Genomic DNA, 25,534 nt, shown 5'->3' on the forward strand with positions numbered 1-25,534 from the left:
GGCCCCAGTTGGAGCCCCAGTCCGGTAGTGCTCTGGGGGGGTCCAAGAACATGCATTTCTAATGGGCCCTCAGGTGATGTTGCTGTAGTTCCAGTGAACAGCCTCTAGTCCCTGGGGCAGCTTAAGGGAGTCAGGGTTTGGATGTGGCTCATTCATTCCGTCAGTGAATGCTTTTTGCTTCTTTTGTGTGCCAAGCTGCATCAAAAGTCCCTGGCTCTCCTGAGGACGCAAAGAAACAACTGGAGAAAGTCATTTCAGGGAGTGAGATACTGATAAGGCAAGAGCATGTCAATGTGAGAAACAGCCTACAAGGGTGTTGGGGGGGAGTCTTATTAACATTCCTGAGGGTCTTATCCTCCTGGAGAGATGAGAATCCCCCTGCAGACCCAGAGCCTCTTCCCTGCAGCTGTCCCTGCTCAGCCCTGGGTCCCAAAGGGGGCTGACCCTCATCCTCCCTGCAAGCCTTGGGGGCTGCCCCTGTGTGTGGCAGGCACCTTCCTTCCTGTCTCCACCTGGCTCAAATGCCACCTACCTAGAAGCAGGGACCAAGGTCCTCAGCTGGTCAGAAAGGCCCACACGCCACAAGACCCAGGCTAAGATTTGAGGGCCCATGTGGCTAACACGAGGGAGCCCAGGCCAGCATTCAGTTACTAAATAACACACCCTATTCTGTGTAAAACTCTGGGTGACAACTGCAACAATGTCAAGTGCTCCTAGAAAACAGCAGGAGGTAAGAAATCCCCTGCCCTCTGCGTTCCAGAAACAACTGCTACAAAAAAAGCCCCTTCCCCACAGGACTGAGCTAAGGCTCACGATGCCCCCACCCACCCAGGATAAGGCCAGACACAGAAACCCACCAACGCCTGCTCTGTGCCTCTTGATGGCCAGTGGCACGATGCATCCCCCGCCTGCTCCCGATCACTCACAACAAAATGCTCATAACCAAACCTTGCTTCGCTTCTGTCCTTCTCCAGGCCCCTTGGGTCCCACAGAGCCAGTGCAGCCCCTCCTGAGAAACAGCTGGCCTTGGGTAAGGCATCCTTTGACCCTGCCACCTTCATCCCATATCCCACCTCTGGTTCTTCGAAGCCTCATCTACACCACCCTACAAAGAAAAGCCCTTTGGCCTAACCTTTCAGACACATGTGATCTCATGGTCAGCATGTGGCCAGGCCCTGGCCCCTACTGTGACAGTCCATTCCTTCCTTTGCATACTCCTAAGAAAGCCTCTTCTTACTAAGTCTGGATTTGTTTTATATTTGACAACTGCTTACTGATTACAAACAACTTGAAACTCCAAAATGTGTCACACACTCATGCAATGGATGCACAGGTGAGAGCTTTGATTTCTGCCTCCTGGAAGACCGGTACTCACATGTTTAACCGAGGTTCCACCGGTTCAGACCCACTGCTCATGAGACGGCTCAAGAATATGTCAGAGATACCCCAGCCTCACATGCACAGCTGGTCCTGGAGGCCGCAGAGCAAGGAAAAAGGGGAGAAGCAACACTGAAGGTGAACCACACCCCTCACAGACACGGGCATCCTACAGGCCCAGGAGAACCCATGCCCTCCAGCGTGGAACTCAGCACACTGGGCATTTTGTGTAAGCTGCCCTCCTCCTGCAGACAGGCAGGGCTTAGCAGGGCCAGCTGAAAATGACACCTAGCCTCATATGTGGCCACCACATATGCCGAAGGGGAGGACGGAGAAGGCGACCTGCTGTTCCCCACACCCCGCAGCAGAGAGAAAGGGCTCCCAGGGCAGACAACCCTATCACCTAATCCTACAGTCATGCTCGGGGGCTCTGCTGGGCCCCTCAGCACACTCATGAAGCCCCAAGGTCTCTTTTCTAAGATCACTGCAAACTGCAACTGAACACACGAAAGAAAATGTGCATCTCACTGGAGGTCAGAAAAATGCAGATTAAAGCAAGATGCCACTCTCCCCCTACAAAATGACCAGAAAAAATAATTACAAGGCTTAAGGTGGTGTGGAAGTGTGAGCCCCTCCCTGCTGTCAATGACTTTTCTAGCAAGCAGCATGCCAGGGATATCAGGAACCTTACAAGGGTACCTCTTAGCTATCAGCAACGAGCAGAAATTGGGACCGGTAATCCCAACAAAACGTTTCACCCCATATACTCTTGACTGTGAAACTGAAAAGCGCCCCCACAGAGAGAAGCACGTCAATAGATAAAGCAGCACTCGGGCTCCAAATTGTATGTTTGCGTCTTTCACATGGATGGCTATGAGCAAATGGCTGCAGTTCTGAGTCCTGACAACTGAGGAGGCAACGGTGACTCACTGCCCTCCCAGGACAAGTGTGGGCACCACAGGAAGGCTGCCAGAATAAACCTCCAAACATTTTTCTCCTATACTAGGAGAGTAGCATATGAACAGAAATCATGGTGTCCTGGACATCATAAACCCCCAGAGTCCTGGGAAGCCTGAATCCTAGGGCCAATGTGTATTTCTTTTTTCTCTTTTTTTTTTTTTTTTTTTGGAGACAGAGTCTCGCTCTCCCTCCCAGGCTGGAGTGCAGTGGTGCGATCTCGGCTCACTGGAACCTCCACCTCCCGGGTTCAAGTGATTCTCCTGCCTCAGCCTCCTGAGTAGCTGGGATTACAGGCGTGCGCCACTACGCCCGGCTAATTTTTGTATTTTTAGTAGAGACAGGGTTTCACCATGTTGGTCAGGCTGGTCTCGAACTCCTGACCTCATGATCTGCCCACCTCGGCCTCCCAAAGTGCTGGGATTACAGGCATGAGACACTGTGCCTGGCCTGATGTATATTTCTTGAACAACAAATGGGTAATTTTAAGGCTAGGATGAGTTTTACCAACCTGCTTTTCCTAGTGATGCATTAAACGTGGTTTGGGTTAAGAAGGGAAATTCTCAGGCTTTGCTGAATCCCTAACTGAAGCACGTGAAGCTAAAATCACTCCCTCTCTGCCCAGGGTGGTCTGCACACCCAGAAAGAAATGCCAGAAATCGCTTGGTGTGAGTGCACTGCAAATTCTTGAAACTTGATTTCTCACAGGTATAGATCATCTGGCTAACTCAGTCCAGAATTTAAATACGGTGCTATTATAATTCACAGTAACTAAGATTATTATCTGTACATTAACGTATGGCACAAAAGCCCATAAGGCTAGCTTCTACAGAGAAGCAGGCTCCAAGGGAAGTGGCCACCAATGCTCTTCCTTTATAACAACATTGATGTGAGCAACGGCAGGCAACCGGCTGATAAAATGTGGAAATGTTTTTCCCTGTGGCATACCCACTTAAGGAGAGCTGTGTTTTCTGTACAAAATAGGTGGGGTTGTTTTTGGCAAAATGATGGAATGTTTTCAATTTGAAGGAGTAAAAATTCCCCAATACCAGTCTACGGCAAACAACTCAAAACAACAACAAGCCAACAACACCTCCTATTTAAAGCTGTCCCAGCCAGATGCAGGGGCTCGTGCCTGTAATCCCAGTACTTTAGGAGGCCAAGGCGGAAGGATCACTTGAAGCCAGGAGTTCAAGACCAGCCAAGGCAACAAAGTGAGAGCCTGTCTCTACAAATAAAAAACAATTAGCTGGGTGTGGTGACATGCACCTGTAGTCCCAGCTACTTGGGAGGGTGAGGCAGGAGGATCACATGAGCCTGGGAGTTTGAGGCTGCAGAGAGCTGTGATCATGTCACTGCACTCCAGCTGGGAAAAAGAGCAAGACTGTGCTGGAAAGAAAGGAGGGGGGAGCGAGCGAGGGGAGGGGAGCGAGGGAGAAAGAGAGGCATGTAAGAGAACACAGAAAAGGGAAACAGAACAAAAGGGTCTGTACTCTGAACACTAGAATGTTCCTTTCTACTCCTTAAGCCAAACCTAGAAGGCTTCTGGCACTCTCTTCTCTGCATCCCAGTACCCACTTCCAGGTTTCCAATGTGTTGAGTTCAGACTGGGGAATACCAGATGGGGAAAAATGGTAGACTCATGCCCAGTTGAGGAATACTTGCAATTCTAATCTTCCTCTCCAAACCACCTGCTACTATATTCTTTTCAGAATCTTTGAATAGCTGCTCCCTGCATTTGCAGTGGGAAAGCCACAGTGGAACATGGTTAACCCAGCTTATTAACCAAGCCCATTCATTTCTGAGCTAAAAATCTACCTGAGGCTCACACCAGCCATCTTTTGCATGATCCATCTGGTCCTCTTCGTAGACAGGGGTCCATTCCCAGGTGCTAAATCTGTTCAGCAGGGCTACTTGGGGGCTTTTCATGATCAAGTCCCAGACTTGCTCTTTCTCATCCAGGTCATGACCAGCCCTTTTTCGCTGCTGCTTTTTCATTTTCGCAGCAGAGGTGGGGAGGTACAAAACTAATTAGCGTCAACCAGTCTCCAAAGTGTATTCACAACACAAGGTCTCTATGTTGTGTTTAAAGAACCAAATGGTGGGCCGGGCATGGTGGCTCACGCCTGTAATCCCAGCACTTTGGGAGGCTGAGGCGGGCATATCACGAGGTCAGGAGTTCAAGATCAGCCTGGCCAACATGGTGAAACCCCATCTCTACTAAAAATATAAAAATTAGCAGGGTGTGGCGGCGGGCACCTGTAATCCCAGCTACTTGGGAGGCTGAGGCAGGAGGCTTGCTTGAACCCAGGAGGTGGAGGTTGCGGTGAGCCGAGATTGCACCACTGCACTCCAGCCTGGGTGACAGAGCAAGACTCCGTCTCAGACAAAAAAAAAAAAAGAACCAAATCGTGCCAACTAGAGCCAAAGGCTTAACTTCAACCCTTGCAGTCATGGGGGCACTTTCTCCACTTTCCACCTTAGACACGTGCTTTTGGGGTTCTATGTGCTTTTCTTAAATTTCAGAATCAGAACACCAGTCAAAAATGGAGAGTGTGACTCACCTTCCCCCACCCCCAAGAAAACTGCCACAAAACCGCACTGTGAGCCTGTTTCTTCCTCTCTTCTCTCAGATGCACTACGCTCTCAGGGACCAAGGACACTTTGTTCTAATCATGTTGAAGATGTAAAACAAAAATACTTAATTGTAAATTGAATTATTTCACCAAGATGCTACCTGTGAGAAAAAAGGAATGGCTGGAAATCCTGCCTTCCGACCTGGGTTTCGGATGATTATAAACAGCTGGGGTGGGGCTGAGGACCTCAGGGGCAAGGCAGCCACAGTTGGGGGTGGGGGGCAACACATTACAAGTCCAGCAGCAGGGCGCAGCCAGGCTGCCTCTGGCCACCTCCCCAATGCCCAGGATCTGGACAGGAAAAGACAGGAGTTCATCAATAAGGAGAGACCCCTCAGATGTGGGGTGCAACACCCCAGCTAGGAAGGGCAGCAACAGGTCCTCTCCCTGCAAGATCATGGGAACAAAGAAGAGGACAGGGACACTGAGGACAGGGTTCAAAACCCACTGGTCTCCCCAGAGTGAAGCACCCCCAGGGGAAACTGACAGCAACTCAGGCAGTCACAGAGGTCAACCATCAGAGAGGTGAGTGCTAGACAAAAACCACATCCTCATTCTTTGGGTCCATTAGGAAATGGGCAGGGTTGCAGGGGTCCCCCGCCTCCTGGAGAGGGCTGGATAAGCCTGAGTTACCACGGGGTGTGGGGGGAGGGTGCGGAGAGCACCCCCAGGGCGAGGGTCCTGCTCTCTGCTCAGCCCACAGTGACATCTCTAATGCAAGCATATGCTGGCTCTAAATTATATTAGCTTGCTTGCTTTATTTGGATGCATCTCTGTTTTTGACACCATGTCCTCTCTATAGCTATAAACATCTCGCATGCTTTACAAAGCACTGAGCACACAATAATTAACCAATACTCACTGACCAACCTGTCAGGGGCAAAGAGGACCAGCCCAGGAAGGGGGCACATTTCCACATATCACCCAAGAGCCTCTCACGCTGGCTCAGACCCACAGACAAGACTGGGAAGATCCGCCCACAGAATGTTCCTCCTTGCCCTCCATGACCAGATTCTCACTTTAAAAAGAGCCCTTAGTCCGGTGCATCCCGCGGAGAACAGACAAGAGGGGCCTAAGTCCCCAGGAAACCAGCACCATCCATCCGGTGAGATTGCTGGCCACTCAGCCCAGGGGTGATGGCTGCTAACGGGTCACTTAAAAAAAATGACCATGCATTAAAAACATTATTAAATCATCACTCACAAGAGAACCAAGGAGGTGTCACAATCCCTTCAGAGGGGAAGTCAAAGAATCACAAAAAGACATGGAGTTGGCTGGGGGAATGGGGATGGATTGGGCCATGATGGATTGATAATTAGGGGGCTTCCTTTTGGGGTGCTGGAAATGTCTTGGAGCTAGAGGTTGCACAACATTGCAAATGTACTAACTGCCATGGAACTATTCACTTTAATATGATTAACTTTATGTTATGTGAATTTCACCTCAAGAAAAAAATAATACAGAGTAAAAGAATATTGACATGAATTTCCAACGGACACAATACCAGCCTTTTCCATGGGGAGTCAATTGTCTCTCCAGGAGGCTGAACCCATTTGCACGTCTAGGGACAAGGATTATTTGCATTGCCTTCGGATATCTATGACTTACAGAGCTGTACAAAGACAGGTGAGCCCTGGGTGGCCCCAGTGCTCCATTCAAAGGCTGCCTATGCCCAAGTCCAAGGTGGAATGAGGAGAAGATGGAGTCCACAGGTTTAGGAGGAAACCAGCTTTAGCCGATGGGAAGGTGATGCTGCAGAATAAGGTGTGTCTAGAGATGGTGTCAGGAGTGACTCCTGCATTTCTTGGAGGCAGGGGGGAAGGTGGGCTCACTGGAGCACTGGGGCTTGAGGAGATGGTCCACCATGTGACACAGTGAGAAGCCGAGGTGTCCAAGGCACCATGAAGGGGCAGGACCACACAGGGTGCACGCCAGGCAGTTTGCAGCCCTGGCCTGGCTAGGGGCTTCCGTAGCACAGTGCCGCAGCTCCTGGGGCACACACCAAGGGATCAGGCACACGAAATGCTCAATGACACACACAAACATAATTTCCCCTGACTTGTACAAAAAATAGGGTGATCACTCCGCTCTGAGTTCCCACGTAGTGATGCAGACTCATTTTCAGAAACGCCTTTTCTTTCTGCCAATCTGGAATTCTTTCTGGGCTCCTCGAACACCTCTAAGAATCCACAACCTTAGACAGAGGGCTGCCTGGGGCCTTTCCCTTCCGGCTTTCCCCAGGCATCCACACCTACAACACCTGGGACACGCTAACACTCACAGGCCAGGTGAACACATGCTTGACTGCTCTCCATATGTACCGAGGGCTGCCCATGACCTCTGTGAGTGACCTTTCTGTCTAGACCATACGCAGTGCATCATCGAGGGAGCACACAGCCCCCGTGTGCACAAGGTCATGCTCCAGAAGCATCACTCACCTGCATGTGCACACTCTCAAGGCACAGCCAACTCCACTTTTCCACTGCAATTAGTACACAGTAATTATTACCCAAACCCAGCACATGGAAACATGGTCTGCAGCCTACATGGACTGTGTTTCCAGTGAGTTGTCCTTGTGTGCAGCAGGGAGGCGGCTACCAGGTCACAAGCATTCACCTCGGAGTGCACATGACGATGACCAATACGAGCCTGATGTCATTATCGGAGCCTCCTTCAAGGATGCTGCTCCCTCCCCACAGTGGTCTTGTTACTCTATAACTAGAAGTTTCTGAGCCACCAGCTCCAGAATGCAAGGCCCAAAAAGGGCCCTGTTACTCTTTTACAAGCAACCAGAGCAGAAACGAAAATGTCACCAACCTCCCAGAAAGAAACTGAATTATTCATCTGCAGCATTCACAGCCCCATGTGTGAAGTTAACGGGGGTTGTCCCCCTTGTTGTTCAGGCTGAAAAGTTTCCATGACTAGATGTGGGCACTCCTGTCCCAGCTCGTGTATCATGCCTGCCTCCTTCCTGGTGGCCACACAAGGACATGGGTACACGGCCCTTGCACTTGTATGAGCACGTGCCCACCCTTTCTCCTCACGTCCTCACATCCCCAGCTTCCCGGCTCCTTACACCGTAGAACCTGGATGACCTTGTGAAAACACACACATCTGATGCTCCCTCCGAGGTCCCTATACCACAGCATCCTTTGAGTTCACAGCCATCCGGTTCCTACAATTCAGCCCCAAAGGAGACTAGGGCCATCAGTTACATAAGGACATACATGGTGGAGGAGTTGATTTCATTCTCCTCCTTTGAGTTACCTGAACTTCTTACAGGAAATGTGTTATTTGTTTAATCCGGGGGAGTGGGGGAGGGGGAACCACACCTGGGAGCGCATGATTTTTTTTTTTTTTTTTTGAGACAGAATCTCACTCTGTTGCCCAGGCTGGAGTGCAGTGGTACAATCTCAGCTTACTGCAACCTCTGCCTCTCAGGTTCAAGAGATTCTCCTGCCTCAGCCTCCCAAGTAGCTGGGATTGTAGGTGCGCACCATCACGCCCAGCTAATTTTTGTATTTTTAGTAGAGACAGGATTTCACCACGTTGGTCAGGCTGGTCTTGAACTTCTGACCTTGTGATCCACCTGCCTCAGCCTCCCAAAGTGCTGGGATTACAGACGTGAGCCACTGCACCCAGCCTCATGATTCTTATAAATTGCTGCAAGGATATGCCCACAGCAGAAGCAGGGAGAGCTGGCAGTGGCATGTCCCACAGCCTCAGGCTTGGAGAGCAGCCCTCCCAGCCCCAAGGGCTCTCCCAGGGCTGGAGGTGCTTAGCCAGCTGTTTATGCATACGTTACACAACCCTGCAGCAGAAAGAGAGTCAGCCTGTCCAAAGAGAATCATTTGCGAGAAGACACCGAAAGACTAGGGTAGTCGTGGTGTTAGGCCTGCTCATCCAAACGACTTTGATCACTGAGAAAACTCAGCGCCATAGGATGGCTCCAGGGATTGCACAGAACCCCACTCCACTCCACCTGCAACAGGTATTTCCAAACCCTCCACATTTGCAGAAATCTATTTTCTTTTTATTGCTCATAAATCACTCTATTTTAAACCCCAGCATGACACAGATTTTTTAATTAAGTGAAGCAAAACTAATCTCACTTGAAGAATCACTACAAAACTGTGACCTTTTCCCTCACATAGGAAGATGCTACAATATCAGGGTCAGGAACCAAATTCCCCAAAGTCCATCAATGAAAAAATGTCTACTTTATGACCTAAGATGAAAGCTGACAACAGAGCGTTCAGAAGGACACACCGTCAACTGTCTTCAGTCCCTGACTCACCAAATAAAAAGTGACGGCAAAGCAATCTCTGCTTAAACATCACTCTAAAAACATACCACTCCTTTTGGCCTTATTTTTCTTGGGTTTTTCAAACAGGCTAATTTGTGGCCTTTATTGGAAATAAACAAAACATAAATAAATCAGTACCTATCAACACGCCACTCAGAATAATCACCTCAAACACCCTGGAAAAGTGGTGAAAATCTCATCCCCCCTCTAAGTGGTGGCTGCGGGTTTCTTCTCACTCTGGTATAAGGCTGCCCAGATTCTCCCGGTGTGTAATGCTTGTGTAATGCTCGGGGGCAGCAATCTGAAACTTCTAGAGACACTGAAGTCCTGCAGGTCACTGGGGTAGCTCCTATTAACTTACCACTCAGGCACCAAAGGCTACCCCAGGGCTTAAAAGCCTTAATGTCCCTCCTAAGGCACCTCATTTGCTGCTCCCCAAGGGGTACCATGTAATCCAAGGGAATCCAGCCCCATAAGAATCTGGTAATACCTAGGACTACAGACTACAGTCCTGATTAGACTGGTTCCACACAGAGGCTGCATTTAAAACACTAGCCCTGAGGTCCTCATATGTTAATACATTCCCAATTCCCAATATCAGGAAAGAAGGAAATGTTATCACTACAGACCCCATAGACATTAAAAAGGAACATGGCAAACAACTCCGTGCACAAAGAGTCAACAACTTAGAGGAAATGATCAAATTTCTCAATAACAACCAACCACCAAAATTCACACAAGATGAAATAGATACCTGAGCAATACTATAAACAGGAAAGAAATAGAATATGTAGTTAAATACCTTCTGAAAAAGACATCTGAAAAGGCTCAGAGATAGGTTCCTTACATGTTTGGTAGAATTTTCCAGTAAAACTAACAATTACATACACTCTCTTCCAGAAAATAGAGGAGGAAAAAACATTTCCCAACTTAAATGAGGCTAGCACTACCCTGATAGCAAATCCAGAAAAAGACATTACAAGAAGACTATAGGACAATACCCCTCATGAACACAGATGCAAAAATCCTCAACCAAATATTAGCAAACTGAATCCAGTAATATGTAAAAATAATGCACCACAGCCCAAGGGAGTTGATTCCAAAACACAAGATTGACTCAGTGTTCAAAAATCAATAAATGCAAGCCACCTACTCACAGAAGAAAAAGCACACAGGCATATCAATTTATACAGAAAATGCATTTAAAAAATTCAACATCCATTCATGATAAAAGCTTTCAGCAAACTAAACCTAGAAGGGAACTCTCTCAGCCTGACAAAGGGCATCTATGGAAAACTCACAGCTAACATCATATTTCATGGTGGCAGACAGATGCTTTCACCGAAAGTCGGAAGCAAGGCAAGGATGTGCTCTCACTACTTCTCAACATTGCACCAGAAGTCTTGGCTAAAGAAACAGGGCAAGAAAAAGAAAGGAAAGGCACACAAACTGAAAAGAATGAAATAAAATGGACTATTCACAGACAGCATGACTGCCTATGTAGAAAATTCCAAGGATTTCTTTTTGTACAAAAAAGCTCTTAGAATAAGTGAGGTTAAGCAAAGTCAAGAGGGTCCAAGATCAACAACATAAAAGTGGTCATATTTCTATGGATTCTATCAACATTTGGGAAATTGATAAAGTGAACTGCATCAAAATTAAAATGTTTGGCTCTGTGAAAGATGCTGTTAAAAGAATTAAAAGGCAAGCTAAAGATTGAGAGAAAATATTTGCAAATCACATATCTGACAAAGAACTTGTATTTAGAATATATAAAGAAGTCTCAAAACTCAATATCAAGAAAATAAACAACTCAATTAAAATATGAGCAAGACTTCAACAGATACTTCACCAAAGAGGATACACAGATGGCAAATTAGCACATGAAAAGATGTTTTACATCATTAGCCACTAGGAAATGCAATTAAAACCACAATGAGCACATTATATATACATTAGAATGGCTTAAGAAAAAACTTAACAATACCAGGTGCTGGTAAGGGTACACAGTGATGTGGCTGGTGAGACTGTAATATGGTACCGCCACACTAGAAAAGACTTGGGCAGTTTCTTATAAGAATAAACACACACGGACCATATGACCCAGCAATCCCACTTCTGGACATTTATCAAAAGGAAATGAAACCGCATGTTCATAGAAAAGCTCATACACAAATGTTTACAGCAGTTCTGTTCAAACACACAATGGACTTACCGAGGGACAAAAAAAAAACCAAACTATTGATACCTGCAACAGCTGGAATGAGCCTCAACGGCACAGTGGTGAGTGAAAGAAGTCAATCTCAAAAGGCTATGTACTGCGTGGTTCCATTATATGACATTCTTGAAAAGGTAAACTATAGGAACAAAGAGTAGCTCAGCAGTTATAAGTGATTGGGAGGGAGCTGAATATAAAGGGATGGTATGGGAAGTTTTCTTGGAGGATAGAATTTCTCTGTATTCTAACTGTGGTCGTGGTTACACCATCTGCACATGTCTTAAAACTCACAGAAATGCACACTGAGATAATCATTCTTACTGTGTATTAATTTTAAAAGTAAAGGAAAAGGAAAAACAAAATAAAATGACTGCACCAATTTGATTGAAATGTCTTTTAAAATACCTTTATTTTTAGCCAGACACAAAAGGAGAAACACTGCGTGATTCCACTTATAGGAGGTCCCTAGAGTAGTCAGTCACAGCGACAGAAAGGGGAATCAGGGCTGGGGAGTTATTTAATGGGTACAGAGTTTCCATTTGGGATGATGAAAAACCTCAGGAGATGGAGGGTGGTGATGGCTGCCCAACAATATGGATGTACTTAATGCCACTAAACTATACCCTTAAACATGGTTAAAATGATCAATTTTATGTTTATTTTACCACAATTGTAAAAACTCATGTTCTTCCACAAGAATAGATTTAGAAAATTGTATTTGTATAAAAATAAAACAATAAAAGAAGTTCAAAAAGCAAAAAGCTAAAGTCTCTCCCCACCACACTCTCCAGATAACATCACTGTCAACAGCTTGCTGTGCTTCATGTCAGATGTTCACAATCTTTATCATACACACTGGCTCAGGTGCATGCCGGCTCAGATGCATGCCAGCTCAGGTGCACGCCAGCTCAGGTGCATACAGGCTGAGGTGCATGCCAGCTCAGGTGCACACCAACTCAGATGCATATAGGCTGAGGTGCATGCCAGATAGGGTGCACGCTGGCTCAGGTGCATACAGGCTGAGGTGCATGCCAGCTCAGGTGCATGCCAACTCAGGTGCATATAGGTTGAGGTGCAAGCCAGACAGGGTGCACACTGGCTCAGGTGCATACAGGCTGAGGTGCATGCCAGCTCAGGTGCATGCCAACTCAGGTGCATATAGGTTGAGGTGCAAGCCAGACAGGGTGCACACTGGCTCAGGTGCATACAGGCTGAGGTGCATGCCAGCTCAGGTGCACACCAACTCAGGTGCATATAGGCTGAGGTGCACGCCAGCTAGGGTGCATGCTGACTCAGATGCATACAGGCTGAGGTGCATGCCAGCTCGGGTGCATGCCCGCTTAGGTGCACACAGGAATAGGGGCTTCTAATTCTGTGATTAAATGTGAAACAGAGGTCCTGGGTCAATTTGCACAATCCTTCTGACTTTAAAAGAGTCATGCTCTTTGCTTCCCACAAGAGGCAACTGAAAAGTAAGTAAAACACATCCCAAGGGTGAAGTCACTGGTGGAGGGTAAAGAACACAAGATGGCAGCCACCAAGGGCTGGGGAGTAAAAGTCCTTCGCAATTTCTGACTGTCGTAAGAACTCGATGAAGGCCAGAAAGGAGGAGGAGATGGCAAAGTTAGCTGGGATTGAGAAGATGATGGAGACAAGACACTTACAAGATGGACAGGAATGATCACTGGGCATCCAAGAACAATTTATGAAAGCCAAATATACAGCCTTAAAATAGAATGTGGACCTAAACACTGAGAAGCACCCCCCTTTTGTAAGATTTGTGACAAAAATTAATTTGAGTGGAGTTAACAGTCCTAACGACATGGTGGACCCAAGAGCCAAATCACCGCTAGCAAAACGGCAGAATTCATATAGCATTCAAAGATGTCCTGCAAGAGCTTTGGGCCTAATGATGTCGGTGCTTAATGATGTCTATGGAATATATGAAACTTCCTCAGCTGCGCGAAGGCCAATGTTACAAGTTAATCAAAAGGAAAAACCCCAGGCCCTTCCCCTTTTCCCCCATTCAACTTAAGTAGTCTTCATTTCCCACAGTAGTAAATTTTCTAGATACATCTTGTAGACCTCAAAGTACTGGAGAGGGCCAGGCATGGTGGCTCACATCTGTAATCCCAGCATTTTGGGAGGCTGAGGTGAGAGGAGTGCTTGAGCCCAGGGGTTTGAGACCAGCCTGGGCAACATAGTGAGACCCCATCTCTATAAAAAATGTAAAAAAATTAGCCAGGCATGGTGGCACACGCCTGTGGTCCCAGCTACTCAGGAGGCTGAGGTGGGAGGATCACTTGAGCCCAGGAGGTTGAAGTTGCAGTAAGCCAACACTGCACTCCCGCCTAGGCAACAGAGCAAGACCCTGTCTCAACAAATAAAGTATTGGAAAGGAAGCGCTCATTCAACTTATCTTAAGATACTGTAAGATATCTGCCACTTTTCCTAAGATATTGTAAATGATACTACATTTTGAAATATGTAAGTTGTGCTATAACAACAACAACAACAAAACATCCTAGGCCTGAGCAAGCAGTGCTCCATTCGGAGCTGACCCAAACCTTAAAAAGGAGCAAAGGCTGGGCACAGGGTCTGACGCCTGTAATCCCAGCACTTTAGGAGGCCGAGGCAGGACGACTCCTTGAGTCTCAGAGTTTGAGACCATCCTAGGCAACACAGCAAGACCTCATCTAGAGGTCTAGATGAGGTTTTAGTAGACTAAAAATTTAAAAACTAGCCAGGCATGGTGGTGCACACCTGTGGTCCCAGCTACTCAGGAGGCTGACATGGGAGGACTGAAGTTCAAGGTTGCAGGGAATCAGCCTGGGTGACAGAATGAGACCCTGTCTCAAAAACAACGGCCGGGCATGGTGCCTCATGCCTGTAATCCCAGTACTTTGGGAGGCCGAGGCAGGTGGATCACCTGAGGTCAGGAGTTCGAAACCAGCCTGCCCAACATGGTGAAACCGTCTCTACTAAAAATACAAAAATTAGCCGGGCATGGTGGCACATGACTGTAATCCCAGCTACTTGGGAGGCTGAGGCAGGAGAATCGCTTGAACCTTGGAAGCAGAGGTTGCAGTGAGCTGAGACTGCACCACTGCACTCCAGCCTGGGCAATGCACTCCATCTCAAAAAACAAAACAAAACAAAACAAACAAAAAAACAAAAAGAAGAAAGAAGTGAAGGCAGACAGTCAGAGGGCTACAGAGACTCCAGGCTGGTCAATCAGTGACAGAAATTTGAGTTCCCTTTCTCAGGTCCTCCCCAGGCATCCCCCAGAGAAGTAGGACAGAGAGAAGACGGGTACCATGCCCACAGCAGCACTCTGGGTCCCCCAAGGGCTGCCTTCACGGTCCCCATCCCAGCCCAAAGGAGTTCCAGCCACTCTGCTGATGCATGGCACCAAGTTCTGGGCTCAAGTCCTCCCACCTCCCCCTTTGGTTGCCAAGAAACCTCCCTCCAAAGATGTCCAAATTCAAACTGCTGCTTCTAGACACCTGGCACCAATAAACCCCGAAGATAAACACAGCCTGACTCATTTACCCAGCCCTGTGCATCGCAAGCATTTTAGCCATAATTAACCTTCGCTTAAACCCTGTGTTTGTGCTTGAGTTTAGCAATCACCAGCATTCGAATCCAAATAAGAACATCACAAAGATTACAGTGGACAAATAAAATATAAACAGATCCAAATGCCTCCATGTTCTTAATTACTAGCTATGTTCCTTTGTATACACAGATGAAAGCAGCAACTAAATAGCCTGCGTAAACTGCGTTTACATGAGTTTTTCTCTGTATGACCAGAAGCACTAAAACTCACCTGCAGAACTCCACTGAGCTTCAGAACCCGTGGGTGATTTTTGTTTTTTCAGTGTGTACACTTCATTATCGTTTTCAAGCCCACCCTGGAAGAGGACAAGGGCTAAAACATGAAATATTAAGCCACTCTCCCCCAAGCTACAGACACATGTAGCTTGACAGACACATGTCAGCTTCTGCCTGACAGACATATGTCCCTCAAAGAAGAGAAAAAAGCCAGACGGATTCTTCCCACACCACCACGTTCCTCCTGGCCAAGCCTTTCCGTAGAGAAAGGCCAAGCTGGGTTCAAGACCGGAGACTCTGCTCTCAGGTCTGTGACTGTCAGCCCCTGCAATAGGGGTCCCTGCTGCAGAGGCCCCTGGTGTCCCACCCTGAAAAGTCCCAGAAAGCACTTCTGAGAGCAGCAGCTCTGGCTTTAGAACCTGAGGAGGGTGCCTGGGGCTACAGGGAGGGTTTCACAGCTGCCCTGCTGGCACCATGTGGTCACCAGACCCCTCTTTCTCCCCAGCTCCGGGCCCACCCCGGAGGAGGCTCTCCTGGGGAAAAGGGTCGAGGTGCAGGATGAGAAAGAACCTGCAGAACCTGCAGCTGGAGGACAGACCAGCCACAACCTGGAGGCCATCCTGGGCTGCCAGGAATGACCAGGCTTTGTGAGAACCAGTGTCACAGAGGCTGGGCAGGAAGCCCCAAGGGCCTGAAAGCAGGTGGGACTGAGACCCATGTCCCCACCCACCTGGGAGCCAGAAGGGGCCTGCTGGGCCCCCAGATCCTGAGCCTCAGCCAGTGAGAAGCAGGGAAGGGGACACATGCTGACCACCAGTCCCAGGAACAAACACCCACTCCTGCCAGCCCAACCACACCAGGACTGGTCCATGGGTCACAGCCTTGGCATGGGCTCAGCTCCCCACTCCCACCACACGGCCAGTGACCTGAGTCCCTCCTACCTCTGTGACCAGCTCCACTCTCTCACTTGTTCACCCATCAATCATTCATTCACTCCAACACTGCACCTGATGGAAAAGAAAGAGAAGAGCCACCTTTACCAGTCCTGGAGCTGGCACCCCTCTGCATTCCCCTACTGATCCATCAGGCAGCTCCCATCCAGTCCAGACCAAGCCTGCCGTGGACCACCAGGCTGTGTTTCTCCCGCCTCGCTGTGACTGTTTACGGTAGAATTCACAGGATGGCACACAGGTCTGATAAGAGCACGCCAGGCACACGGGAGGCCAATGTCAGCAGGCTCACAGAGAGCGGGAAACAATGATATGACCATGGCTTGCACAAATATTTTTTTTCCCAGAAAAAGAAAATATCATGGAGGCAGAGCTCCCAGGCTTTCTGCTAATAAATGCCTCTAGCATGTCCAAGCCATGTCACATTTTGAAGGAAAATGAAGCAGTTTTTGGAAGGAGGACAACAGGAATGGTCCCCAGAGGCACCTAAGGTATTACTGATGCTTAAATATGGGGCCAGTGGTGACCGGAATGAAGCAACCTTCCTAAGAAGCAGAAGGTCGGCTGAGGTGTGAGCGCAGCTTGCACAAGGCCCCGGACCTCGCTCCTGGTGCCATTAGAATGTAAGAAGTGCCAACCTTCGGCCACCTCATGCTGGCCCGATGATCTCTGGGCAAGAATAACAAGCCCTGCCTGCTCTGGGGCAGGCTTCTGGGAGCAGGGCAACACCTTCATACAATACACCTTGAGCAAGCTCACACACCTTACCTAGGGCCCACACTGGTTTATAAAACATAGCATGCCACGGGGCCCGTGCACTGGGGAGCACTGACCAGTGTGATGGCTGATGTCACATGTCAACTTGGCTGTGCCACAGTACCCAGATATCTGGCCAATCATTATTCTTGATACTTCTGTGGAGGTATTACTTTTTTAATGAGATCAACATTTAAAGCAGAGGCTTTGAGTAAAGCAAATGGCCCTCTGTAATGAGGGTGGTCCTCATCCAATCAGCTGAAGGCATGAATAGCACAGGCTGACCTCCCCCAAGGAGAAGAGCAGAAAGTTCTGCCTCCAGACAGCCTTCCATTGAGCTGCAATTCTTCTCTGGGTCTCCAGCCTGCTGTATATTTTAGACTCGTGGCATCTCCACAATCAGGTGAGCCAATTCCTTGTAATGTCTACACACGCATACACATGCACACACCCATTAGTTTCACTTCTGTGGGGGACCCTGACCGACACAATCAATCAGGGACATGGCAAAGGTATCACGCCAGGCTCCAGAGATGCCTCCAATCCCCACTTCGGAGCAGAACCTGACTGCGGAAGGAAGCCCCCATGACCACATGGCACCAACAAAAAGTCATGCCTGTGAAGGATCTAGGCACATACACAATATTTGGCTGGGATACTGGGCTGACCTGTCCAGGGATAGGAGAGCCGACATATCTGACCCCAGAGAAACACACCACATCACTGTACTACCATGTCAAATTCTCCCCAGGCCATTTCACTTTAGACAAGCTGGAGGCATGGAGGAGAGTGGGGCGAGTTTTATCTTTTGGCTAAAAATACAACTAAGACTTCCGTAAAATAAGTTCAGTAAGCCTCCTAATGAGAAGAGACTCCTAAATCCAAGAAACTCTCCCAGAATGCAGACTTCCAGCATGCTGTGCACTGCTATTCTGGAACCTATGAGCACACATGTGCAGGCAGGCACTCACACACACATGCATATATGCACAAGGTACATGCACGTACACACACACACACACAAATGCTCACACACATTCACATACACACATGCATGCACCCCCCCACACACACACAAACACACACGGCCTACTAAAACACTGCCAATTTCATTTTCTGGGCTCCACCATTCACAGGGGCCATCACATGTCCTGCTAATCAATGCCTTGACAAGAGTAATGTACACCAAGGAAAACAGTCAAGGGTGTGGCAGACTGGAGAGACCTCCACTGAAGGCCCCAGGGACACACAGCACACACAAGGGCACACATGGCTTCGTAGCACACTGCAGAACATACACATCTATGACACAGTGGTGAGCAAATAAAGCAAGGTGCATACCTCTGCGTGGCATGACCGCGACTTTGGGGAAACACCCCCTCTATGGATGTGTGTGTACTTATGCATGCACGCATGTGTGTGCATCTGAAAATCGCAGAGAAAAAAATTCAGAAAGGCAGGTTGTTTATGGCATTTACCCAGCACAATGAAAGCGTTCACTCTTTGCTTTCTGTCTTCATTTTCTGAGCAATAAAAATGCCATTAAAATAATGGAAAAGTTAGTCAGCACATCTTACTTCCTGTTCACACTAAATATCCAACAAGTATTCTTGTAGAAACACTCCTTAAAAGCAAAGGCCCCACCAACAGAGAGAAAAACTCGCATAAAAAAGATAGAAGGCACCTTTCCTGTTTCCCCTCTGAGTCAACATGAAGTTATTTTACGAAGCAGAGAGTTTCCACTGTACTCTTATTTCTACAGCTTCCCACAAAGGCAAAAAGCAGCTGTGGTTTCCATTTTCCTGCTGATAAAGCCCTGCTGAAATATATCCTGGAGAAGGTGAAAGCCTGCCAGCCCTGTCTCCGCCCACCAGGGCCACCAGCTCAGCCCGCGCAGTATTTCAATTGCCTTCTTGTGTGCTGTAACAGGTTGAAGAGATGCAATCTTGTTTGCAAAAAGGGTCTTTCTAGATGTAAGAATCTCAGGATGAGATCTCCCTGGGTTATCTGAGTGGGCCCTAAATCCAGGGACAAGTGCCCTTATAGATACACTCAGAGGGAAAGACAGACGCAGACGCCATGTGATGTTGGAGCAGAGACTGGAGCAATGTGTCACAAGCCAAGGGACACTGGGGCCACACAAGAGGGAAGAAGCAGGACGGAGGCCCCCCTAGAGCCTCAGGGGAGTGTGGCCCTGCTGACACCTTGATTTTTACTTCTGACCTCCAGAACTGGGAGAATAAGTTTCTGTTGTTGGAAACCACCCAGTGTGTGGTACTTTTTATGGCAGCTACCAGACATTCATCCCTATGTCCCCTGTGCGCCTATGAAAAGGGATTGTTTCCTTCATGGTTCATTTACAGAGAAAGCAAGAAAGCCCCCAATACACAGACTATGAAAATGTGCGGAATGAGATGAAATGAATCATCCTCACTGCACCCTTGTTAGGGGTCTGCCTCTTGTTCACACTCCACTCTCCCACCCAAAACCTGAGTCCTATGGCCCCCTCATCCTCCACCCCACCCCACCCCACCCCAAGGCCCTTCCTTCCCCCTCCTTGGGCAGCCACCGCTTTTGTTCCTGTCACTGCTGCTGTGTTGCATGTTACCCTGAACTCAGCAGCCTGCAACATGTTACTACACTCCCAATTCTGTGGGTGAGGAGCCTCAGCGGGCCCCAGCTTCAGTCAGCTCATCTCTGCTCCAATGTCCAAGGACACCAAAGCTGACACACCTAATTACCAAGGGCTACAGCTACAGTCCTTGGAAGGCCTGTCCCCTCACTTATCAGGGCCCTGAGTGGAGGGGACTGAATACCAGGGCTGCCCACTGGAGCTCCCATGGCTGCCTGTGGAGCTTGGGTTTCCTCACAGCATGGCTGCCAAAGGGCCAACTCCTTCCTTGGCATCACAGGGCTCCCAGAGCCAGCATCCTGGTGAACAATGGGGAAGCCACATTGGGGGTCACTCAGCCTCACACCCACCACATTCCACCAATCAAGGCAGTCAGGAAGTAACCCAGATCCACAGCAAGGGGACAGACACCCTGCATCTCAGTGGCAGCAATGGCGAGATTGGCCACCATGTTTTAAAAACTACAGCTTTTCGCCCAGCTCAGCCACCAGCTGTTTCCGATTTGCTCTGAGTTCTAACTCAGTGTTTGTTACTTCAACACCTCAGCCCCGTCCTCGTTGGGCAGCCTCACCCTCAAGATCCCCTCAAAGCCCCTGTATCCCCTATTGTGTCCGGAATTGGTGGGTTCTTGGTCTCACTGACTTCAAGAATGAAGCCGTGGACCCTCGCGGTGAGTGTTACAGCTCTTACGGTGGCGCGTCTGGAGTCTGTCCCTTCTGATGTTCAGATGTGTTCAGAGTTTCTTCCTTCTGGTGGGTTCGTGGTCTCGCTGGCTCGGGAGTGAAGCTGCAGACCTTCACGGTGAGTGTTACAGCTCTTAAGGCAGCGCGTCTGGAGTTGTTCGTTCCTCCCGGTGGGCTCGTGGTCTCGCTGGGCTCAGGAGTGAAGCTGCAGATCTTCGCGGTGAGTGTTACAGCTCATAAAAGCAGCGTGGACCCAAAGAGCTAGCAGTAGCAAGAGCGAAAGAACAAAGCTTCCACAGTGTGGAAGGGGACCCGAGCGGGTTGCCAATGCTGGCTCGGGCAGCCTGCTTTTATTCTCTTATCTGGCCCCACCCACATCCTGCTGATTGGTAGAGCCGAGTGGCCTGTTTTGTCAGGGCGCTGATTGGTGCGTTTACAATCCCTGAGCTAGATAGAAAGGTTCTCCACGTCCCCATCAGATTAGTTAGATACAGAGTTTCCACACACAGGTTCTCCAAGGCCCCACCAGAGCAGCTAGATACAGAGTGTCGATTGGTGCACTCACAAACCTTGAGCTAAACACAGGGTGCTGATTGGTGTATTTACAATCCCTGAGCTAGATATAAAGGTTCTCCACGTCCTCACCAGAGCAGCTAGATACAGAGTGTCGATTGGTGCACTCACAAACCTTGAGCTAAACACAGGGTGCTGATTGGTGTATTTACAATCCCTGAGCTAGATATAAAGACTCTCCACGTCCCCACCAGACTCAGGAGCCCAGCTGGTTTCACCTAGTGGATCCCGCACCGGGGCTGCAGGTGGAGCTGCCTGCCAGTCCTGTGCCGTGCGCTCGCATTCCTCAGCCCTTGGGTGGTCGATGGGACTGGGCGCCGTGGAGCAGGGGGTGGCTCTCGTCGGGGAGGCTCGGGCCGCACAGGAGCCCATGGAGTGGGTGGGAGGCTCAGGCATGGCGGGCTGCAGGTCCCGAGCCCTGCCCCGTGGGAAGGCAGTCAAGGCCCGGTGAGAAATCGAGCACAGCGCCGGTGGGCCAGCACTGCTGGGGGACTCAGTACACCCTCCGCAGCCACTGGCCCGGGTGCTAAGTCCCCCATTGCCCGGGGCCAGAAGGGCTGGCTGGCTGCTCCGAGTGCGGGGCCCACCAAGCCCACGCCCACCCGGAACTCCAGCTGGCCCGCAAGTGCCGCACACAGCCCCTGTTCCCGCTCCTGCCTCTCCCTCCACACCTCCCTACAAACTGGGGGAGTGGGCTCCGGCCTTGGCCAGCCCAGAAAGGGGCTCCCACAGTGCAGTGGGGGACTGAAGTGCTCCTCAAATGCCGCCAAAGTGGGAGCCCAGGCAGGGGAGGTGCCGAGAGCAAGCGAGGGCTCTGAGGACTGCTAGCACGCTGTCACCTCTCACTATCAGTACATACACACATCCTTCTCCCGCTAAAAGTAACACGTCTTGTCCATTCTCCTCCAACCCCCAACCTCTCACTGCCATCCCAGAACCTGGGACACACTAGGCAGGCACTGCATGCTCTCCGAGGGGTAGATGGCAGCAGATTGAGTGGACCCTGTGCAGCCAGAGACAGAAACTGTGAAGCTGAAAAACACCATGTTAGGAATGACAGGGACGTGCCCACCTGGCCTTGGTGAGCAGGTGGCGGTGGGGTGGGATGCACAGAGGGGACAGCTGGAGAGACCCCCGAGGGTCCAGCGAGGGAGGCGGGGCCCATCAGCAAGCAACAGGAGCTGGTTCAGGGGCCCCTTCTCAGAGGAGAGGGTTCACAGCAGGACTGGAAACAGGGTGCCACGTGGGAGGTCTGAGACAAAATTAAACCACAGGTGCCACCACGGAGACAAGACCTGCCCCAGGAAGTGGAGCCATAAGAACTGGAGGGCCCTTGGTGTCCTGAAAGGACAATAAAAGGCTAAAACACAGCCTGTGTGCAAGGATGTTCAAAATATCATTCCTAACAGCCTCAAACTGGAAGCCGAGAGGGCAGCAGACACCCGTGGCGGATATAAATGTGCCTAAATTGTGGCAGACACACACACCGGAATACGTGGTGGCAAGGCAAGAGAAGAAGACCCTGGGTGAGCTCAAGCCAAATGTCACAGACGGATGCTGAGTGACACGCACGAGGATGTGCTGCAGAACCCAAGGCACACAGACTCAAGCCAGCCAAGATTAACCTGCGCTGTGATCAGCTGGGGAGTGGTGAGCAGGGGGCCCCAGGGCCCTGTGCTCTGCTCCTCTTCCCAGGCATCGCAGGGCTGGCTCCATTTGTGAAGATTCAAGGGCCGCACACTGAGGCTAGGTGTGCTTCACAGTAAATTCTGCAAATATCTCACTGCAGAAGGAAGGAGGAGATGGAAAGATGAAAACAGCAAACCTGGTGAGAGGGTTTCGCTGCTGCTGCTTCCTGTCGATGACCTTCCCTTGACTCCAAGAGGGGAAAGGAGGCAGGGAGAGGGGTCACCGCCCAGACGGGTGAGGGGATCCACTGCAAAGTAGTGGGCCATGGAGCCGACCCAGCTGCTCTAAGAAGAAGGCAGCAAAGCCAGTTGAGGACCAACCAGCTCACAGCGGTCAGAGCACTTGCAATGTCCACCATCCACTGGCTGGCTGTATCCTACTGCCCTCCTGGGACACGTCCACAGAGAATGTGCACCAGCAAGGCCACCAAGCAGGCCACACCTGGATCACTCTGACGACCACGAGGCCAGAGTCTCAGACCATGGAATCTGCTCTTCATGTCAGCTCTGATCAGACAGGCACTTGGAAGAGTCACAACGCAAAGAACAGCACGGGCCACACTCGTTACGGTTTACACAGGCATCAGCAACAGCTCTGATCCTCAGGGAAGCCTCCCAGCCATTCTCAGCCCCAGCAGCAGAAGGCCCCGCAAAGCTCAGGATAACTGCACTGTAGCAAATGTCTCCTGTGCAGCAGGAGGCACACTCTGCCTCCTCCAGCAGCAAGGAGAGGGCCCCCAGCCCAGCAGTTTGGGGAGGGTGACACCAGCAGGAACGGACTCCCGGCCTGACACAATTCATGAATAAGGCTGTGCTTGGCAAAGTGTTTTTCCGTCTGTAGCAACTACAATGTAAGTGCTTGAAAAGGCTTCAGAGTAGTCCTGACACAAAATGTCTCAGTGGAAGTCTCCAGATGACACCATCACTTATTTAGAGAATGCCACTGTGGCCTGAGCATGGTCTCCTCGCTGAGAAAAGAGAAAGGGGAGAGAGCATGTCTGCATTCTCAGGGCTCCTTCATTTCCACCGCGAGACATCTGTGCTAAGCCATCTATCCCTTCTGCAGCCCTAAATGTGCTAATTATTAAATGACACTCTCTTCCAGTTGAAATAAAACCTGTGCCCACTGGCTGGAGTCACAGAGCGGTTACTTGTAAATAAATGGAGTCTGTATCTCCCCGAAGGCTTGATTCCAGGTCCTGCAGCGACTGGTGTCTATTTTAAAAATCGCCTTCTCACCACCTCTCTGGTTTCGCCAAGCTGGCAAAAACCAAGCCCTGCTCCAACCGTGCTCTTGTGGAAGGAACTGGAACATGAGGATGGCAGATCCCTGCACAGAGAGACCTCAGCCCCACAGAACATCCAGGACGCAGCCGCTGCTTACAGGCAAGACCAAGGGAGCCAGGCGGCTTCCCAGGATTCCACATTTGAAACCCAAGCCACTGCCCTCAGCATTCAAAGACAAGCTAGATATCCAATTCCACCTGCTCAAGAGCTCTGCTTTGACCCAGTTTTCCTGCCCTGTTGTTCTCAGGCTTGCGGTCCAACACCAGCCCCTGGGGTAGGCACTGTGCTGAAGGCTCTAAGGCATGTCCAGCCCCAGAAATGTGGGGATTAGCCTCACTGAGAGGAAAATCAAGCGGTAGAGGAGTACATGGTCAAAGTCAGCCAACGTGAGAAATAAGATAATAATACATAGTGTACACACATTGACGTCACGCTAAAATTTTTACATTTCCATGCAGTTACACATAGGGCCAGATGTCACATGGGGGTCAGTAGTTCTCAATCTGGGGGTTGCAAACACAGTTTTTCAACAAATATAATCAAATAAAAATATCAGGGGGTGTCACAGATAGTTAAGGGCGGCTGTTATGAGCAAAACTTACTGGCATGTGTGCATCTGTGTGCTGTGTGTGTGTGCGTGTGCTGCCTCACAATATAAAATGCATGTGGGTCACTGTCAGCGTCTGAAGCCAGCCAGGCATGAGACACCCACACAGCCAGGCTGCCTGATGGTCAAGAAGCTTTTGTATTGTAATAAAAAATGTTTTAGCAATATGGTCCATGCACTGAAACCTTCCTGAGGCTTGGTTTCAAACATAACACTGAATTCCACATGCATCTCAGTTCAAACGTGGGCAAGAAGGGATATTACAGGAGTCATCTCATTTAATAATCCTACAGTCCCCCAACAACCACTGAGGGACAACCCCACTAAGGAAGAGGGCGGGCCCCACTGAGGCTGCGCACAAGCTGGCAGGCACAGAAGGGCTTCCGGGCTCCCCCAGGAACTGGAGCCTTAAAGAGGACGCCGCGGCCACCCCGCCCTGCAGGCCCACCTGCAGCTGGGCTGCATCTGGGAGAGGCAAGCGAGGGGCCGGCCAGCTTCACTGCCTGCATGCCCTTTAGGAGCAGAACAAGCTGCAAAACACCCACCTGCTCTGGGAACAAGGCACGCATGACCAGTCTAGGAAAAGTGTGCAAAGCTCTCAAGACTCCGATGCATACGGGGTATGTGTGTGCTGTGTGTGCTGCGGCACGTGCAGCATATGACTGTGTGGTGTTATGTGTGGGGTTTGATGTGTGGTGTGTGTGGTGTGTATGTGTACAGTGTGTGTTGTGTGTGTTTTGTGTGTGTGTGTGGCATGGTATGTGTATGTACCACGTGGTGGGTTTGTGTAGTGTGTGTGGTGTGTATGGACTGGGTGTGTGGGGTGGGGAGGTACGTGTATGGTGTGTGTATACATGGTGGGGTATGTGTGTAGTATGGGGTGTTCCGTGGTGTGATGTGCGGTGTATGTATGCAGTATATATGTAGTGTGTGTGTGGTGTGGTGTGTGTATGTAGTGTGGTGGCTGTGTGTGTGGTATGTGATGTGGTGTATGGATGTGTTGTGTGTTATGTGTGTGTGGTGTGGCAGG

General features: G+C 49.7%; 1 protein-coding gene and 1 pseudogene across 43 annotated transcripts in view, besides 9 other annotated features; one reads left to right on the top strand and one right to left on the bottom strand.

Moving 5' to 3' along the window:
• The window catches only part of SEMA4D (semaphorin 4D), a 137,327-nt gene that overhangs the window by 98,429 nt on the left and 13,364 nt on the right, over positions 1-25,534 (bottom strand). For 13 of the 43 annotated variants that reach the window (NR_163886.1, NR_163889.1, NR_163884.1 and 10 more), the window contains exon 1: positions 20,357-20,675. The exons of 10 other annotated variants lie outside the window; for them this stretch is intronic. The gene's annotated coding sequence lies outside the window, so the exon portion shown is untranslated. Of the gene's footprint in view, positions 1-15,323; positions 15,409-16,269; positions 20,256-20,308; positions 20,676-25,534 lie in introns of those variants that run through there. 20 more of the 43 variants (XM_047422624.1, XM_047422620.1, XM_047422629.1 and 17 more) reach the window with 6 other exon arrangements.
• Positions 4,602-4,671: a silencer, noted in NCBI's record as "silent region_20009". NCBI's record gives its function as "represses an Ori minimal core promoter by ATAC-STARR-seq in GM12878 lymphoblastoid cells {active_cell/tissue: GM12878}" and the evidence as "EXISTENCE:reporter gene assay evidence [ECO:0000049][PMID:35858748]".
• Positions 5,182-5,241: an enhancer, noted in NCBI's record as "active region_28545". NCBI's record gives its function as "activates an Ori minimal core promoter by ATAC-STARR-seq in GM12878 lymphoblastoid cells {active_cell/tissue: GM12878}" and the evidence as "EXISTENCE:reporter gene assay evidence [ECO:0000049][PMID:35858748]".
• Positions 6,430-7,126: an enhancer, noted in NCBI's record as "H3K27ac-H3K4me1 hESC enhancer chr9:92080560-92081256 (GRCh37/hg19 assembly coordinates)". NCBI's record gives its function as "activates a minimal SCP1, AML or CMV promoter by ChIP-STARR-seq in primed H9 embryonic stem cells {active_cell/tissue: H9 hESC(primed)}" and the evidence as "EXISTENCE:reporter gene assay evidence [ECO:0000049][PMID:30033119]".
• Positions 7,127-7,822: an enhancer, noted in NCBI's record as "H3K27ac-H3K4me1 hESC enhancer chr9:92081257-92081952 (GRCh37/hg19 assembly coordinates)". NCBI's record gives its function as "activates a minimal SCP1, AML or CMV promoter by ChIP-STARR-seq in naive H9 embryonic stem cells {active_cell/tissue: H9 hESC(naive)}" and the evidence as "EXISTENCE:reporter gene assay evidence [ECO:0000049][PMID:30033119]".
• Positions 8,192-9,155: an enhancer, noted in NCBI's record as "H3K27ac-H3K4me1 hESC enhancer chr9:92082322-92083285 (GRCh37/hg19 assembly coordinates)". NCBI's record gives its function as "activates a minimal SCP1, AML or CMV promoter by ChIP-STARR-seq in naive H9 embryonic stem cells {active_cell/tissue: H9 hESC(naive)}" and the evidence as "EXISTENCE:reporter gene assay evidence [ECO:0000049][PMID:30033119]".
• Positions 11,418-11,507: an enhancer, noted in NCBI's record as "active region_28546". NCBI's record gives its function as "activates an Ori minimal core promoter by ATAC-STARR-seq in GM12878 lymphoblastoid cells {active_cell/tissue: GM12878}" and the evidence as "EXISTENCE:reporter gene assay evidence [ECO:0000049][PMID:35858748]".
• Positions 12,079-12,580: an enhancer, noted in NCBI's record as "H3K4me1 hESC enhancer chr9:92086209-92086710 (GRCh37/hg19 assembly coordinates)". NCBI's record gives its function as "activates a minimal SCP1, AML or CMV promoter by ChIP-STARR-seq in naive H9 embryonic stem cells {active_cell/tissue: H9 hESC(naive)}" and the evidence as "EXISTENCE:reporter gene assay evidence [ECO:0000049][PMID:30033119]".
• Positions 13,022-15,966, top strand: LOC124902324 (ubiquitin-conjugating enzyme E2 variant 1-like; annotated as a pseudogene).
• Positions 21,243-21,742: an enhancer, noted in NCBI's record as "H3K27ac-H3K4me1 hESC enhancer chr9:92095373-92095872 (GRCh37/hg19 assembly coordinates)". NCBI's record gives its function as "activates a minimal SCP1, AML or CMV promoter by ChIP-STARR-seq in naive H9 embryonic stem cells {active_cell/tissue: H9 hESC(naive)}" and the evidence as "EXISTENCE:reporter gene assay evidence [ECO:0000049][PMID:30033119]".
• Positions 22,398-22,898: an enhancer, noted in NCBI's record as "H3K4me1 hESC enhancer chr9:92096528-92097028 (GRCh37/hg19 assembly coordinates)". NCBI's record gives its function as "activates a minimal SCP1, AML or CMV promoter by ChIP-STARR-seq in naive H9 embryonic stem cells {active_cell/tissue: H9 hESC(naive)}" and the evidence as "EXISTENCE:reporter gene assay evidence [ECO:0000049][PMID:30033119]".

Source organism: Homo sapiens, chromosome 9 (genome assembly GCF_000001405.40).
Source record: "Homo sapiens chromosome 9, GRCh38.p14 Primary Assembly".
In the NCBI taxonomy this organism is placed as follows: Eukaryota; Metazoa; Chordata; class Mammalia; order Primates; family Hominidae; genus Homo; species Homo sapiens.